General features: G+C 44.4%; 2 protein-coding genes across 26 annotated transcripts in view; one reads left to right on the top strand and one right to left on the bottom strand.

Moving 5' to 3' along the window:
• IAH1 (isoamyl acetate hydrolyzing esterase 1 (putative)) overlaps positions 1–15,898 on the top strand; it is a 38,597-nt gene that overhangs the window by 6,593 nt on the left and 16,106 nt on the right. For 13 of the 20 annotated variants that reach the window (XR_007073108.1, XR_007073110.1, XR_007073106.1 and 10 more), the window contains 4 exons: positions 882–1,043; positions 4,028–4,146; positions 7,743–7,988; positions 14,298–14,456. Coding sequence is in view for 5 of the 20 variants with exons in the window: in NM_001039613.3 (NP_001034702.1) it covers positions 882–1,043; positions 4,028–4,146; positions 7,743–7,925 (464 nt within the window). In the remaining 15 variants the exon portion in view is untranslated. Of the gene's footprint in view, positions 1–881; positions 1,044–4,027; positions 4,147–7,742; positions 9,339–14,297; positions 14,457–15,898 lie in introns of those variants that run through there. The other 7 variants (NM_001039613.3, NM_001320863.2, NM_001320859.2 and 4 more) reach the window with 2 other exon arrangements.
• ADAM17 (ADAM metallopeptidase domain 17) overlaps positions 8,082–15,898 on the bottom strand; it is a 67,345-nt gene continuing 59,528 nt past the window's right edge. For all 6 annotated transcript variants that reach the window (NM_003183.6, NM_001382777.1, NM_001382778.1 and 3 more), the window contains 5 exons: positions 14,233–14,363; positions 13,343–13,421; positions 12,494–12,582; positions 10,697–10,747; positions 8,082–10,114 (listed from right to left, as the gene is read on the bottom strand). In NM_003183.6, coding sequence (NP_003174.3) covers positions 9,773–10,114; positions 10,697–10,747; positions 12,494–12,582; positions 13,343–13,421; positions 14,233–14,363 — 692 coding nt within the window. In that variant the 3' untranslated portion in view covers positions 8,082–9,772. The remainder of the gene's footprint in view (positions 10,115–10,696; positions 10,748–12,493; positions 12,583–13,342; positions 13,422–14,232; positions 14,364–15,898) is intronic.

The raw sequence follows: 15,898 nt of genomic DNA on the forward strand, positions 1-15,898 counted from the left end.
TGGGAGGGTCGCTTGGCCCCAGGAGTTCAAGGTTACAGTGAGCTGTGATCACACTACACTCCAGCCTAGGTGATGGAGCGAGAACCTGTCTCTAAAACAATTTGTAGAGAAAAGCAAAATATGAAGTCTTCAGTGTGAATATAATCTTCAGTGCAAACTCATTTTTTTAAAAGTGTATGTATCTTCATGAAAAGACCGGAAAGATATACATCCAAATGCCAACAGTGGTTTTCTGGGTGGTAGGAACATTGGTGACTTTTTTCCTTTATACTGTACTTACATGTGGTTAGCAAATGGTAAACAATGACCCTTGTAATACTTCAGTGAGAGCCTATCTAGAAAATACTCCTTTGCAATAATAGTAGTATTCGTGGGTGCCATTTGTTTAGACTGAGTGCTTGCTTTGTGAAGGCACACTGCTCTCAGTGCTGTAAACTCTTAGCTGTTTTGATTTTCAGTCCTAGGAGGGAGACCTTATTATCTTCATTTTCCCAATGAGGTACAGAAAGTCTAAGTATTTATCTGCGGTTCTGTGGCGAGGAGTGACAAAGCCAGGATTTGAACCTAGGCCGTCTCACCCAACAGGGTGGGCTCTTTAATTTCTTTACAAATTCAACCTAATTGATGTAATAACCATCTGGATACTAGTGACGAAAAGACAAGAGTACTTACGGTGCCCCTAGTTAGAGCCTTTGAAGTCTTGTTTTATGAAGAACTATACATTTTAATTCATAAGGAGAAAACCTTCTCTTTGTGTCCTTGGTGTTAAACAATCCCCCCAGTGACATCATGAATAACAGGCATTTGCAGAAGTGTGTTCACCTGAATTGTCACTTATAATAAATATGCATCTGGTGAGGACTCATGTTTCTCTTGAGCAGATGAGAATCCCAAGCAGCACATTCCCCTGGAGGAGTACGCTGCGAACCTAAAGAGCATGGTGCAGTACCTGAAGTCCGTGGACATCCCTGAGAATCGAGTCATTCTCATCACGCCGACCCCACTTTGTGAAACAGCCTGGGAAGAACAGTGCATCATACAAGGTAAACAAACCACAGCCAATCTCGGCAAATCTGGATAGGAATGCTGAGGGAGGAACTCTGATAGGACAGTGGTTTCCTGCCTGGGGCTTCTGTTTCTTAGGGGCTCGGTATGTCCATTTCAGTCTGTTTTCAATCCAAAATTATTAAATTATAGCTTCCATTATGTTATACCTGAGACCTTTTTTGACCTAGAAAAGGGATTCTGGCTTTGGATAGTCAGGAGGGAACCGCGGGCCTGGCATCTGCTGACCTTTACAGTTACCAGACTCCAGGGTGCACATGAAGGCCACTGAGATCTGTGTAGAGCTGTGGTGCTCGGCCTGCGGGGGCTGATGCTGATGTGCCTTGACTTGGAAGTCCACACCTGGGGCTTTTTACTGGTCCACAGAAGCTGGGGGTAGGAATGATCAGATAGGAGTCGCCAGCACTCCATATACTTGGGTTTCACATCCCTCAAGTGCTGTGTTTTCAATCCACCTTTGACTGAAAAACCTCTGCACATAAGTGGACCTTCACGGTTCAAACCTGTGTTGTTCAAGGGTCAGCTGTATGTTAATGTTGAAAATGTGCATTATGGAAGTTCTCTTTTTTTTTTTTTTTTGGAGATAGAGTCTGGCTCTGTCAGCCAGGCTGGAGTGCAGTGGCACGATCTCGGCTCACTGCAACCTTTGCCTCCTGGGCTCAAGCAATTCTGCCTCAGCCTCCTGAGTAGCTGGGATTATGGGTGTGCACCACCACGCCCGGCTAATTTTTGCATTTTTAGTAGAGACGGGTTTCACCATGTTGGCCAGGCTGGTCTCGAACTCCTGACCTCAGGTAATCTGCCCGACTCAGCCTCCCAAAGTGCTGGGATTACAGGCGTGAGCCACCGTTCCTGGACTGGAAGTTTTCTAAGCTGCCCAGAACTCAACATTCTAGGACAAATGACTGGCTTTGCAACACAGAACAGCTATTTCTCAAAGTGTGGTCTGACTCTGAGTTAACTGGGATTTTTAGGTAGATTTCTGGACCCATTTTCAGCACTCCAGATGTTTCTTACACACACCACAGCACACATACCACAACTTCATGGAAGGCTGTTATTGTCCCTACTTTACCAGTGGAGAAATGGAGTCTTAGAGAGGCTAAGTAACCGGCCCAAGATCACACAGCCAGCAACACAACCAGGAATCAAATCCAGCAAGTGTGACTTCACAGCTCAAGTCCTTACTGTTGTATGAGTTTACTGTTGAGTGGGGTTGTAGCTATGTCCCTTGCTCTCAAAGGGCCTGTCATCCTTAGAGAAGGATCCAATGCGTTCTCAAGTCACAAACAGCATATGCCAAGGGGTGCCACACACCGGAGGCACAGACAAACGGGGAGAAACCCCAGCCTGCGGGACGTGGTGACAGTAGGTTCTGGGCATCACATCAGGGCAGAGGGGCCCTATTGCTGTGCATGAGACACCAGAGTGTTCTGCAGGGAAGGGGAGGTGTTTAAGGCCCACAAAGCTCCCCTGGAGACAACTTCAGAGCCCCAGCTTGCTTCTGGGCCTGCAGCCCTAACTGCTTTGGGGGGCAGTGTCATCTTGGCTTTAACAAAAGGGGAAAAATGTTACATAGCATGGTCCACAGAAGCTGTTTAGACTTCTTTTTGTCTACTGTTTCCCAGGAAAATAATATATATGAAATTCTGAATGTTTAATTTCATTTCCCCTTTCTAGCCTTGAATGTAGCCCAATGCAGACTTTTTAAAAGGTCAGTGATGGGCAAAGCAGGTAGAGGAGGGGTCACATCTCAATAACTGGTCCCCTAGAAATTCAGCAGGTTATTTTTTGAGATGGTCTTGCTGTGTCACCCAGGCTGTGTAGGGCAGTGGATTACTCATAGCTCACTGCAGCCTCCACCTCTGGGCTCAGGTGATCTTCTTGCCTCAGCCTCCCAAGTAGCTGGAACCACAGGCATGTGCAACCATGCTCAGCTAATTTTTTAAATTTTTTTGTAGGGATGGGGTAGCTAGTTATAATCTAGGTGAATTTTATAAACAATTGATCCCAAGTATGAATCAAAGCTGGTGAATAGTTTCTTCGCTGTGATGTAGAGCCTGGGCCAGCATAGGTCCTCCTGTGGCCCGCATCCAGTTGCCCATATCCTCATGCTTTCTCTTTAATACCATTCTGTAGTCCGCCTCTCGCCAGCCCTCACTGTCCTGTTTGCAGCCTCCTGAGCCTTCTCCCCTAGCCCCAGCCCCACCTTCCAAACCAACCTAGCACAATCCCCAGATACTGCACTCCAGCCTTCCCTGGTGCAGCTCCCTGGGAGGATGAGGCAGCCTGCACTTGTGTTAGATACACTCAATCGTTCTGTGCTAGCTGCTTTGCTGGTGTTTAGTCTCTTAATCCTGCCAATATTCCTGCAACTAGGTAGGCACTGTCATCATAAGAATGCAGAAAGCTTCAGGACGGTTAAGCTGTTCAGGCACACCGCTATTTAGTGAAAATTGTAGGCATCAAAACGAAGGTCTCTTTGTCTAAAGCCGACAAATGATTTTGCTGTGTTGCGGTCCAGCTGTTACATGTAAGAAGCCAGCGGTGTCAGCGCAGCGTTCAGCTTCCATGGCCTGGCATTTCCTACTAGTGCAGCCCTTACCAGCCCCCAGCCCAGCTCCTGCAGCCGGCACTCTCCAAGCAGCCCAGCCCTCCTGGGCCTTTCCTGCCTCTCTGCCTCTGTTCAAGGTGTCCTCTAGAACATCCTCCCTGGCGCCTCAGAAGATTCCGGTTACCACTGAAGGCTCCTTCTTCCCACTGCACCTTGTCCTCTGCTGGGTAGAGCAGCACACCAGTAACCTGCAAGGCTCATCAACATATACCCTAAACCCCGGGGCTGGCCCAAGTGGGGTCAATATTTAATGGCATTTTGAAACTGTCTAGATGAGTGGAGCAGAACTTACACAAGGGCCAGCACTTGGGTTTACCAACTGCCACCTCTATTTCTTCTCTTCAATAGGTTGCAAACTAAATCGCCTGAACTCTGTTGTTGGTGAATATGCCAATGCGTGTTTACAAGTGGCCCAAGACTGTGGGACTGACGTACTTGACCTGTGGACCCTGATGCAGGACAGCCAGGTACGGTGGCTTGCTCGGTCCTCTCGGGGTAAATAGGATCACACAGAAGTAAACCAGGTGTGTGTGCAGCAGCTTTCCCTAGAAAGGCCCTGCTTAGCTAAGACAGTCATCCCTTTAGCCAATGAAAACAAACAGGCTTGGGGGAGGGGAGGAATGGAGGTTCCAGGATGGCTCACAAGCCCAGCAGCTTAATTCAGCCAGGCTCCTTGGCTAGGAGTTAGTGCGCAGTGACATCAATGAGCAACACATGGCTCATATTTATGAACGTCCAGGCCAAGTTCTTCTTTCATACAGAGAATGGCAGAAAGCTAAAACTTGTTAATAGGTAAAACAATGAATTTAAATACAGTATTGGCTAATAAAACTGTTTGAGATATGTAGTTCTAATTAAGTTACTTTGTTTTAAAGCCTGAAAGCACAAATATAAAAGGTAAAAAGCAGGTCCCATGGAATGGTGCACTGACTCAGGAGACAGCTGGTTTCTGACGCAGTCACACATACACTTAGGGAGGACCTGGCAGTCCACTCCTGGGTTATCTGCCCTAGAGAAATGAAAACTATGTTCACACAGAACCTGGGTGTAACTGTTGACAGCAGCATTATTCCTACCTGCTGGAAACACGCCAGTGTCCTTCTGTGATGAATAGGGAAACTGGTGTGTCCGTGGAATGGGATACTACTCGGCAATAAAGAGGAGGAACTGACAAGCGCAGCAACGTGGGTGACTCTCGAGGCGCTTCACTGAGGGAAGGAAGCTGGTCTCTGAAGGCTACTTACTACATGAGTCCATCTGTTTTGGTGTCTCAAAAAGGCAAGACTTGGGCTGGGTGTGGTGGCTCACACCTGTAATCCCATCACTTTGGGAGGCCAAGGCAGGTGGATCACCTGAGTTCAGGAGTTCAAGACCAGCCTGGCCAACATGGCGAAACCCTGTCTCTACTAAAAATACAAAAATTAGCTGGGCATGGTGGAGCGCGCCTGTAATCCCAGCTACCCAGGAGGCTGAGGTGTGAGAATCGCTTGAACCCGGGAGGCAGAGGTCACACCACTGCACTCCGGTCTGGAGGATACAGGGAGACTGTCTCACCCTCCCCAGCCCACCCCCCAAAAAAAGGCAAGACTGCAGTAACAGAACAGGTCCATGGTGGCCAGAGGTTAGGGCAAGGAAAGGTATGGCTAAATTCAGGTTCCACACAGATACTGGTGAAGAGGGGCAGACAGGCACTGGTCTTTTTTAATTTTTCTGTGACCTTGTGCTACTCTTTTGTAAAGAGCTTGTTCAGTAGGGCACATTAAAGGCTACTTCATTGCTATGCTGGGATCCAGAGAGAAAGCTTGGACGGGACTGATGATATTTGAAGTACTCAAGGGAAGGAAGGATCCAGTGTGCGGGAAGCTCTTTGGACAAACGGGAAGACTCACAGCCTCACCGGTTTCCTCTATTCCTAGCTGTTAGGTTTAGGCTACTTGGACAAAGCAACATAGAAAACAGCCAAGAAACTAACCCAAGTGCCAACTTTTTCCTCTCCCCTAAATATTAATCCATACCAATCGTTCCAATGACCTACACATTTATTATCCATCTGTAATAGGGAAAATGGTCACCAGTGGGAAAGTCATACTACCACGTGGATGCCGAGTCACCAGTCACCTTTGGAGGCCCTGAGAGCCTAAGCAGATCTGGACCCTAGGCCTCTAGTCTTCCTCTGAAACCCTGGAGTACTGGAACCTTCCAGAATTCCAGATTAGGAGGGGCCTTGGCAGCTTGAGTGCCAAAAGGGTCGACATCTAGAGTTCTGTTGTCTAGGAAAGGAAACTGCAAACTATTGGGCTAGTTTTGCTCACATGTCTTTTTCAATTTAATACAAAACTGAGAGGGTCGTCCTTAGAGATCATCTCATCTCAAACTGCCTAGATGAGAAAACCAAGGCCGAAGAAGAAGTGCTACTATTATATGATAGCATCTAAATTTCTGGTCTATTAAAAGTCACATAAGGCCGGGCGCGGTGGCTCATGCCTATCATCCCAACATTTCGGGAGGCTGAGGCAGGTGGATCACCTGAGGTCAGGAGTTCGAGACCAGCCTGGCCAACATGTTGAAACCCCATCTCTACTTAAAAATACAAAAATTAGCCAGGCGTGGTGGCAGTCACCTGTAATCCCAGCTACTTGGGAGGCTGAGGCAGGAGAATCACCTGAACCCGGGAGGCAGAGGTTGAATTAGGCCGAGACTGTGCCATCGTTCTCTAGCCTGGGCAACAAGAGTGAGACTCTAGCTCAAAAAAAAAAAAAAAAGTCACATAAGCTAGTTGGCCACCCAGATTCTAACAGAGCTCTTGGCTAGTGAGATTCTTCCCCAAGAAAGAAATGGCTGTATGGGTAAAATTCTTATAGTTCAGGGCCTGGTATGGCTGCTCATGCCTGTGATCCCAATACTTTGTGAGGCCAAGGTGGGAGTATTGCTTGAGCCTAGGAGTTCAAAACCAGCCTGGGCAACATAATGAGAGACCCATCTCTACAAAAAGCACAAAAATTAGCCAGGTAGCCAGGTATGGTGGCACGTGCCTGTAGTCCCAGCTGCTCAGGGGGCTGAGGTTAGAAAGATCGCTTGAGCCCAGGAGGTTGAGGCTGCAGTGAGCCATGATCATGTCACTGCACTCCAGCCTGGGCAGCAAAGCAAGACCCTGTCTCCAAAAATATGTGTATCTTTTTAAATATGTACTCTTGAGTTCAGGGCAATGGGAGGGAGACTGGACTCCTGTGTCCCAGCAATTACTGTTCTAGGTTAGATGGTAGAAGTTCTTTCTGCCTAAAAACCTGCCTAGAGTCAAAAACAATATTGACTCATGGGGCCCCTGAACACTCCTAATACCAAATTTTTCATTTTTGCTGATTACGTTAATAGGCCATATTTACCTGTTAAGGTTCTTTCAAATAACCTGAGAATCATGTCATATGATTCAGAAGACCTGGAATGAGGTCCCAGCTCACTTAATGGTGAGTGACTTTCATGAAACTCAATTCTATAATATGGAGACAGCACTATAGCACTAGTCAGGGTTCTCTGTGTGTTCAAACACCTACGTAAATAGCACATCAGTGCTACTGTAGTCCAAGACACCTCTGGTCAGATGCCTACAATGAAAGGGGCTGGTGATATTTCTGTCGCAGGGCCACAAATGAGAGAATGGTACACACTGGCATTTAGAAAAGTTATACCCTCCCTCCCCGGCCTTTTTGTGTGTGTGTGTGTGTGTGTGTGTGTGTGTGTGTGTGTGTGTGTGCGCGCGCGCGCGCGCGCTGTGGGGGGAGACAGTCTATCACCCAGGCTGGAACTCAGTGGTGCAATGATACCTCACTGTAGCCTCCAACTCCTGGGCTTAAGTGATCCTCCCATCTTCGCCTCCCAAGTAGGTGGGAATACAGGTGTTTGCCACCACACCCAGCTAATTTTTGTATTTTTAAAATTTTTTGTAGAGACAGGGTCTCAAACTCCTGTCTTCCAGTAATCCTCGGCCCCAAAGTGTTGGAATGACAGGGGTGAGCTACCACACGTGGCCAGTTACCCACCTTTAACCGATTTCTCTCCCTTCTAGGACTTCTCATCTTATTTATCAGATGGACTACATTTGTCTCCAAAGGGGAATGAATTTTTGTTCTCGCATCTCTGGCCTTTGATAGAGAAAAAGGTCTCTTCTCTACCTTTGCTGCTTCCTTACTGGCGGGATGTAGCAGAAGCAAAACCTGAATTAAGTCTGCTGGGAGATGGAGACCATTAGCCAATCACAGGAGACCCAAATCTGCTTGTTATCTACAGAACTCAAAGTTGTCAATACGTAGAGGTACGCTTTTTTCCTCAGGCTTAAACCTTTGCCACTGATATTAATAATAAAAGTATTAGATGATTTTTCAGGGAAGTTTTATACTTAGGTCCATTGTGTTTCGACAGTATTTATTAATGCAGATATCAGTGCTACAGCTATAAAATATACCCTGAGCAGCTTGTTAATTCTATAAATGACAAAGACTATGTTTTTAAAAAGTCACAATTTTATAAAAATGGTTTTTCTTACATTCTTTTGAGAACTGTTTCACTCATACATACACCCACACACCCCACTCAACCTTGTATCAAATTCCAAAAGTGTAACTAAAGTATAAGAATATCATGACTAGTTAAAAGATAGCAAATACCATAAGGTACAAGTTCAAGTATTAGTATAACAAGTATCTGAGTAACAAATGTCCTTGGAAATGGGGGGTAGGAGGAGATATGATTAGTCACAGGTTTGGTTAACTGCCCTCAAAATTTACAAGTTAAAATGTTTTGGCTGGTGAGCACATTTCAGTTCTTAGGGGAAAAAAAGCTTTTAATGGCAATTTATAGAAATCAGAATCCAGGCTAATGATTTTTATCCTTCACACAGTAAATGCAGCCCATCCAGAATCCTGGAGCAATAAAGTAAGAAGTAATTCAAATATCTGCTTGTGGGTCAATAAAAAGGGTTTCTGAAGTATCAAGTCTTGTGGGGACAGCCCCCAACCCTAAGGGCAGGTAGTATTCTATCTCCTGGCTGGCTCATCACATTCAAAACAACCTGTTTTTTTTGTTGTTGTTGTTGTTAAGAAATATCTCACCCTCTTATTCAATAGTGTTTGAAAACAGGCAATCTTTGTATTTTAAATATTCTAGGTTTGTAGATAGTGAATTTTTTTTTTTTTTTTTTTTTTTTGAGGCAGAGTCTCACTCTGTCACCCAGGCTGGAGTGTAGTGGCGCAACCTCAGCCTCTCCAAGTGCTGGGATTACAGGCATGAGCCACCACTCCCAGCCAATAGTGAATTTTCTAAGAGCATGTATCCCTATCAGTAACAGGGATACATGAAGATACTTATAAAATACAGAAAAACTGCCCAGCAAATCAGGGCCCTAAACAGTTGGTAGATTCCATAAATTCAACTGGCTACCATGTATAGCCCTCACTGTAAGGTAGGTGGTTAGGTTTCTAGAGAGCATTAGTCTTAGAATTATGAAGAGCCATATTAACCCAAATGATTTCTAAATTTAGATATATATTTTCCCTGCTACATAAAAACTCTGGGTAATAACTAGAAATAGACCCACAATTTAGAGACAATGTATACTAGATTTATCTCCTTTGTTTTTAGTTGAAGGCAAAAAAAAAAAAAAAAAAAAAAAACTATTCCAGTTGTCATCACAAATAAATGCCAAATGCCTCATATTCAGCGGTTCATTACAGTGTATAAAAAAAAACTGATCATTTCCCTAGTCAGTGCTGTTATCAATATAAAAGATTAATTTACAAAAACGTAAATATTCATAACCCAATCCAGCTGTATTTTCTGCTTTTGCACCACAGGTCAAAAGATATTTTAAAAACTAAAACCTGAAAGCCTCAAAATAAGCTAGATTCACCTTCACCTTACCTTTTCAAAAGGAGAAGGGCCAAACCACACAAGAACTGTTTACCTGCAGGAAGTTCAAACACATGACCAGCATCTGCTAAGTCACTTCCCAGTCTTCACAAAATACAAGCTGTGATTGATTTGTAGGTCAAATCTATAAAAATATTTTGCACACTTAAGTCAGAAGAGCTGAGAACTAAATTAGCACTCTGTTTCTTTGCTGTCAACACGATTCTGACGCTGCAGTTTAAAGGAGGCAGCCTTTTCACTTCTGGTGACCGGATGGTCCGTGAGATCCTCAAATGACTTGGCAGCTGTGCTGCTATTTGGGAAGGGGTCCTTCTCAAACCCATCCTCGTCCATATGTGAGTCTGTGCTGGGGTCTTCCTGGATGGTGTCCATTCTCTGGTGGTCCAGTTTTGGAGCTGCTGGCGCCGAAGGGATCACAGGGGCAGGCTGCAGGCGGCCTGGAGTCTGGGGCGCAGGAAAGGGTTTGATAATGCGAACCGATGCAGAATCCATGCTGCTCAGCATTTCGACGTTCTGCAAAGACATGGGTTCAATTGATTGATAGGAATAAAAGATGAATCGGAGGTCCTCACAGCTCCACCCTTACCCATCAAACAGCCTCTTATTCTGTTGGCACTGTGATGCTAAGAAAAAAGTGCTAGGTGAGGCTCACTCAACCTAAGTGACTAAAAAATACTAGGTTGGTGCAAAAGTAATTAATGCCATTACTTTTAATGGCAAAAACAGTAATTACTAGCTTTCAAGCATCCTGAAAACTTACTTACCATTTGAAGACCCAAAAGAGGATTCAAACCTCTCAAGGTAAGATCCCAAGAGAGAAATTGAACTCAAAATATTAACTAAGTGTTGAATGGCTAAATCACTCCTTATGGCTTGGGAAGGGGACAGCACAGCTCTTTAAATGTCCATCCATGCAACTAATCGAAGTTCACCATCACTGTTGTCAGAAGGGTAAACATTCCAACCTAGACCCTTCCTGCTGCAACATGACCTTCCATCAGCCAGTGAAAGCTCTTGCTGGGTCAGGTGAAGGTCTTTGCCTAACAGGGCCTCAGACCAGGCGAAGATTATGTTTCTTTCATATGGTATACTTACACTGGGGTGAAACAGAGACAGAGATTCATACTGTTTATCCAATTTCTTATCCTAGAAAGAAACAGCAAGAAGGTCATTCCCTACAAATACAATTCAGTTAGTGAGTACTATTTCATCACAGGCTATTCCTAACACTAACTGAAGAACTTAGAACCTGAGTTGTAGAAAGTGATAGCAGGCTCAACAGATGACAATCCATTTCTCACCCAAGCTTTAGTTATGCCACCAGTCTAGAAGTGTTTCCTTTGCACTCAAAGGAAATACATTTTGGCGTTAAGTACAGAAAGAGGCAAGGTTTAAGTGCTATGTTTTCTGAGAAATTTATCCCTCTGTGGGCAGGGGAATAATAAAGGCATCTTCCTGTGCATGAAATGACAAATGTCCCAGATGCTGGGTACACCAGGACCGCACTGACTGGAAGGGCAACTGGTAGGAAGACCCAGGTGGCTGGGCCTGCAGCATTCTTCGCACTGCCCCGGCCCATGGCCTCACTCTCTTAGCTGTCTCCACAGTTTCTGTGGACCATGCTCTGCTGGAGGAACTGGGCCTCAATCCCTACATCCTACTTCTGCAGAAGGCTAACCACATGGCCATCTGCTGCCCCATCCCTGCCTGTGGCTGAAGCATAATAGGTGACAGAGGGCAAGGACCAAGAATCCAGGACTAGGCTTCCTGTCTGGGTGCCATCAATGCATTCTATGACCAAAAACAAGCCATGGCCCTCCCTCCTATCGGAGGCTTTGCTCTGAAATCAAGGGTCGTGCCTTGTCCACATGTGCAACTTCCCTGTAAACAAAATAGGTTCCATCCTCCAATAGAAGCAATCGTGATGGATGGCACTGTCATCCAGAGACATCTGTCAAAGCTTCAAGCACGTCACCTTCAGCTTTCTTCAGCACAAGTGCTCCCTAGAGATCTTCCTATACCCATCATGCTCACCACCCTGAGGAAGAGCTGCTCTGTGAGATGGCCCCTAGGCAGGAGAAGCCAGCAGGAAAGGAAAGGAAGGAGGCAGTAGGAAAAACTCCTTTGTCATCAGAGTTGTGCTGGAATTTTTAAATGCTCATAGGAAGGCCACTATGAAAGAGTTTGGGAAAACAAGTCTGGAAGCCTGGGTGTGACTTTCTCATCTCTACAGCAGACAAATCCCCATTCCCCACAGATGCAAGTGAATGGATTCGTAAGAACATTTATGAAAAAGGGCCTCAAATTTATAAAGGACCAGGAGTTCCTTAGTCAAAGCCCAATTCAACTTGTAGCTGTTACTGATTCTGAATGAGAACAGAAAAGACTGCTTACTCTTATTTTTTGGGGAAGATGTAAATACTCTATATGACAGCTGGGCCCCAGTCCCTACATCCTATTTGTGCAGAAGGCTGAAGACATAGCCATCTGCTGCCAATAATCTACATGATATATGGGGAACATCTGAAATGCCGATGTTTGATATTTGCTCTATTGCAACGAAGTCAGCCTGAAAATGCTCTTCAATAAGGGCTTTACTCATCAAAGGACCTGGACAAATCCAGTTAAACAGTCTCCTATGCTTAAAAGTATAAAATTCCTAAGAAATTTATATATTAAAACACCAACACACAAAAATAGTATTTTTTTTAAAAGACCATTAGTTAAGCTTTCTACAAGACATGTTCCCCTAGGAATAACAACAAAAAAAGCTATTGGAAATATCAGGCCAAACTTTGCTAAGAACAAGTTTTACCTTTTCCAGAGATTACATGGTTGGAGTTGATCAAAATTTAAATAAAACATTTAATTACTTAAAAGTTGATGACTTACCACACAATGGACAAGAATGCTGAAAGGAATCCAAAATATCAAGGAGAAAACCAGGACAGACCCAACGATGTTGTCTGCTAAAAACTTTCCTGTGAACAATTCCAAACAGTTAATGTCTTGACCAAGTACTTCACAAATCTAAAGTGAAATGCTCTTAGGATATTACCATTGTGTCAAATGCCAGAGCTGCTGGCTAGACATACTACCGAGAGCAGAATGTCTGTGCTGCCTGTATTACACCACACCATCTCTCCATACCAAGTGCTTTTAAAGAAATAGCCCTCATATACTGGCTGACAGGAAGAGATTGCAGAATATTCAACATGTTACCTGGAGTAGCTGTGTCAACAGATTAATATGGAATGCTACTACTAGTAAATGCTTAAGAAGACAAAGTTTTTGTTACCTGGATATTATTTTTGTGATTAAATTATGGACTCGTGACAACATGATATACCCTGCTTCTGCAAAATATGAGGCTCACTTTTACATCAAGCAGGATTCAGTATATAGCATTCAGTCAAATAAACACTCTTACATCAATCAGGATTCAGTCTATAGCATTAAACTATGCTTATGCTAATCACATGGATATTTTTGGGTAAAGAAGGAAGCCAGTATTTTGACTTTATTTCCCTTGTCAGAAAATCTGTGCATCCAAGCTCCACGGGGACAGACTATCTATGAGTTCATTTTATTCTAGCCAACAAAGTTGTTTCATAACTAAAGCTGTGAATAGTTCCACCTTCTACTGCAGAATTAAAGCACATCACTCTGAAAGCACACTTTTCTAATGTCATCACAGAAATTGACTCAGCTCTCAGTAAGTAATCTGGGGAAATCACCTACCAAAAGTATTGATGCTCAGCTGGTCAATGAAATCCCAAAATCGTTCAATTACATCCTGTACTCGTTTCTCACATTTGCCCTATGAAGAAAAAACATACATACAGCATCATTCCCAAACACAATGTATTCAGAAGCAATGTAGCTTTATAAAAATAACTGACATGTAAAGGGCTTCATTAAAATCAAACGTTTTCCCATCTTTGACACAAGGCAATAACTTCCGCGTAATGAGTACCCAAGAAAGTAGAACATCTGTCATTAACACTTTCATAATTACTCCATTTTTACAAGTGATTTAGAATTACCAGGAGACAAAAATCAAGGAAACCAGTTTGCTAAAGATGAGGCATTCCAGTAAGGACTCTACACATACACAGTGGACAGTGAACAACACAGCCAGACTCCCTGTGAAGCCTCGTAAATCTTAAAACCCTCTCCCATCATTCTGCATGAGAAAAATTATGCTTCTCTAGAGAACAAAAGGGTCTGGCTTAAGTAAGTCAAGCAGCCTTCTAGGTCTTTCCTACTCATTCAGCACCTGTTTCAAAATCACACCCTGAATAATTTTGCAATCTTAGTCAGTTCTGTAAGTAATCTAGGAAAACATAATTAGGACCCACTGCCTGAAACCAACCAACTTTACCATAAAGTCCCCACCCCAGTCCTTCTCAGTCTCTGGGCTCAAAGCCTCCCACCACAGAAGGAAACTACAGGCAGGGACCTGAAAGCACTCCGTCTTCTCCTCCTAAGTAATACCCGTAGATAACAATGGGCCAGAAGGATGTAGCCCCACTTGTGTTTTGATTTGTTTTCATCTGCAAAATCAAGTACTTACAAAATAAAAACTTCCTATCTGGCTGTTACAGAAAAAGCTGTACATAAATACTCACATTCATGTCACAAAATCCTACTGTACAGGGCTTTCCTTTCCTCAAAAATAAGTTCTTTTGTTCAGCATCGACATAGGGCACACAGCGGCCAGAAAGGTCCCTGCAGCACACCTTGCAGGAGTTGTCAGTTTCTGGAACAGAGAACACGCATTGACAGCTGGATTGTTCTGAGACCTGCCTCTCCTCCTGCCTCCTCTTTCCTCCCTGACCATGCTCCCAAAGAGGTAAGAAATCACATTTATTTTTTATTTAAATAGCTAATACTATCCATAGCCCCCACCAAGGAGTAGTTTCTGAGGTCACACTCCTCAGCCTTCAGTGACAGAGGCCACAAGGTTTAAAAAAAAATGCAGAGAAAAATCCATTCTAGATTCAAGACCTCTCTTCAAAGTCTAACTATTCTCTCCCCTTCAAGCCCCTCACAATGCTCTTCTAAATGCTTCCCTTTGTCCCAACTTTCTTGTCACCCTGCTGACTTCAATCCTTGGTTTTTCAGTCTAAAGTGTGCCCCTCAGGGCCCACACTGGCTCCCTGAAAGCGAGAGCAGCTGGGACACAACTGTCCACCCTTGGGTGGGGAGCTCAGTGACCCCAGGAGCATGAGCCCTGCAGCCAAAGCTCCACAACTCCTCCCAAGAACAGCTCTGACAGGTCACAGGATAAAACACCGGGCATCTGTGAGCCATGTGGGCATACATAAGAATGGCAGAAATGCCAGAAAATTAAACCATACTTAGGAGAAAAAGAAATCAACTAGAACACAAAAACAAGCAAAAAGAAAACCTTTTCAGAAAAGGCCGGGAGCAGTGGCTCTCGCTTGTAATCCCAGCACTTTGGGAGGCCAAGGCGGACAGATCACTTGAGGCCAGGAGTTCGAGAACAGCCTGGCCAACATGGCAAGACCCCATCTCTACTAAAAATAAAAAAAATTAGCCAGATGTGGTGGTGCTTGCCTGTAGTCCCAGCTACTCAGGAGGCTGAGGCACGAGAATCACTTGAACCCGGGAGGCGGAGGCTGCGGTGACCTGAGATCGCGCCACTGCACTCCAGCCTGGGCGAGAGTGAGACTCCATCTCAAAAAAAAAAAAAGAAAACCTTTTCATCATTCACTAATTTATAAAATATTTCTTGGACTTTTACTGTGTCGGGCTCTGTCCTTCCAGAGCACCCCAAGCCTCTTGGCATTCAACACAACAGATTTATTTGGCATCTGCTACGTGTTACCTTTTTTTTTTTTTTTTTTAAGAGGTGAGGTTTCACAATGTTGCCCAGGCTGGTCTCAAACAACTCCTGAGCTCAAGTGATCCACCCACCTTGGCCTCCCAAAGTGCTGGGATTATAGATGTGAGACACTGCCCTCAACCTATCTTCTTTACCTACACATTATTGAACTTGGAAGAGTTCCTCACTCCACTGTATGGATGGTGAGCTTCCAACCCAGTGATTTTATTTAACTACCGGGTTCTTTGTCTTTTATTTATTTTATTTTTTACTTATTTATTTATTTATTTGAAATGGAGTCTCGCTCTGTTGCCCAGGCTAGAGTGTAGCGGCGCAATCTCAGCTCACAGCAACCTCCGCCCCCTGGGTTCAAGCAATTCTCCTGCCTCAGCCTCCCTAGCAGCTGGGATTACAGGTGTACGCTACCACACCCGGCTAATTTTTTT

This window comes from Homo sapiens, chromosome 2 (genome assembly GCF_000001405.40).
Source record: "Homo sapiens chromosome 2, GRCh38.p14 Primary Assembly".
NCBI lineage: Eukaryota > Metazoa > Chordata > Mammalia > Primates > Hominidae > Homo > Homo sapiens.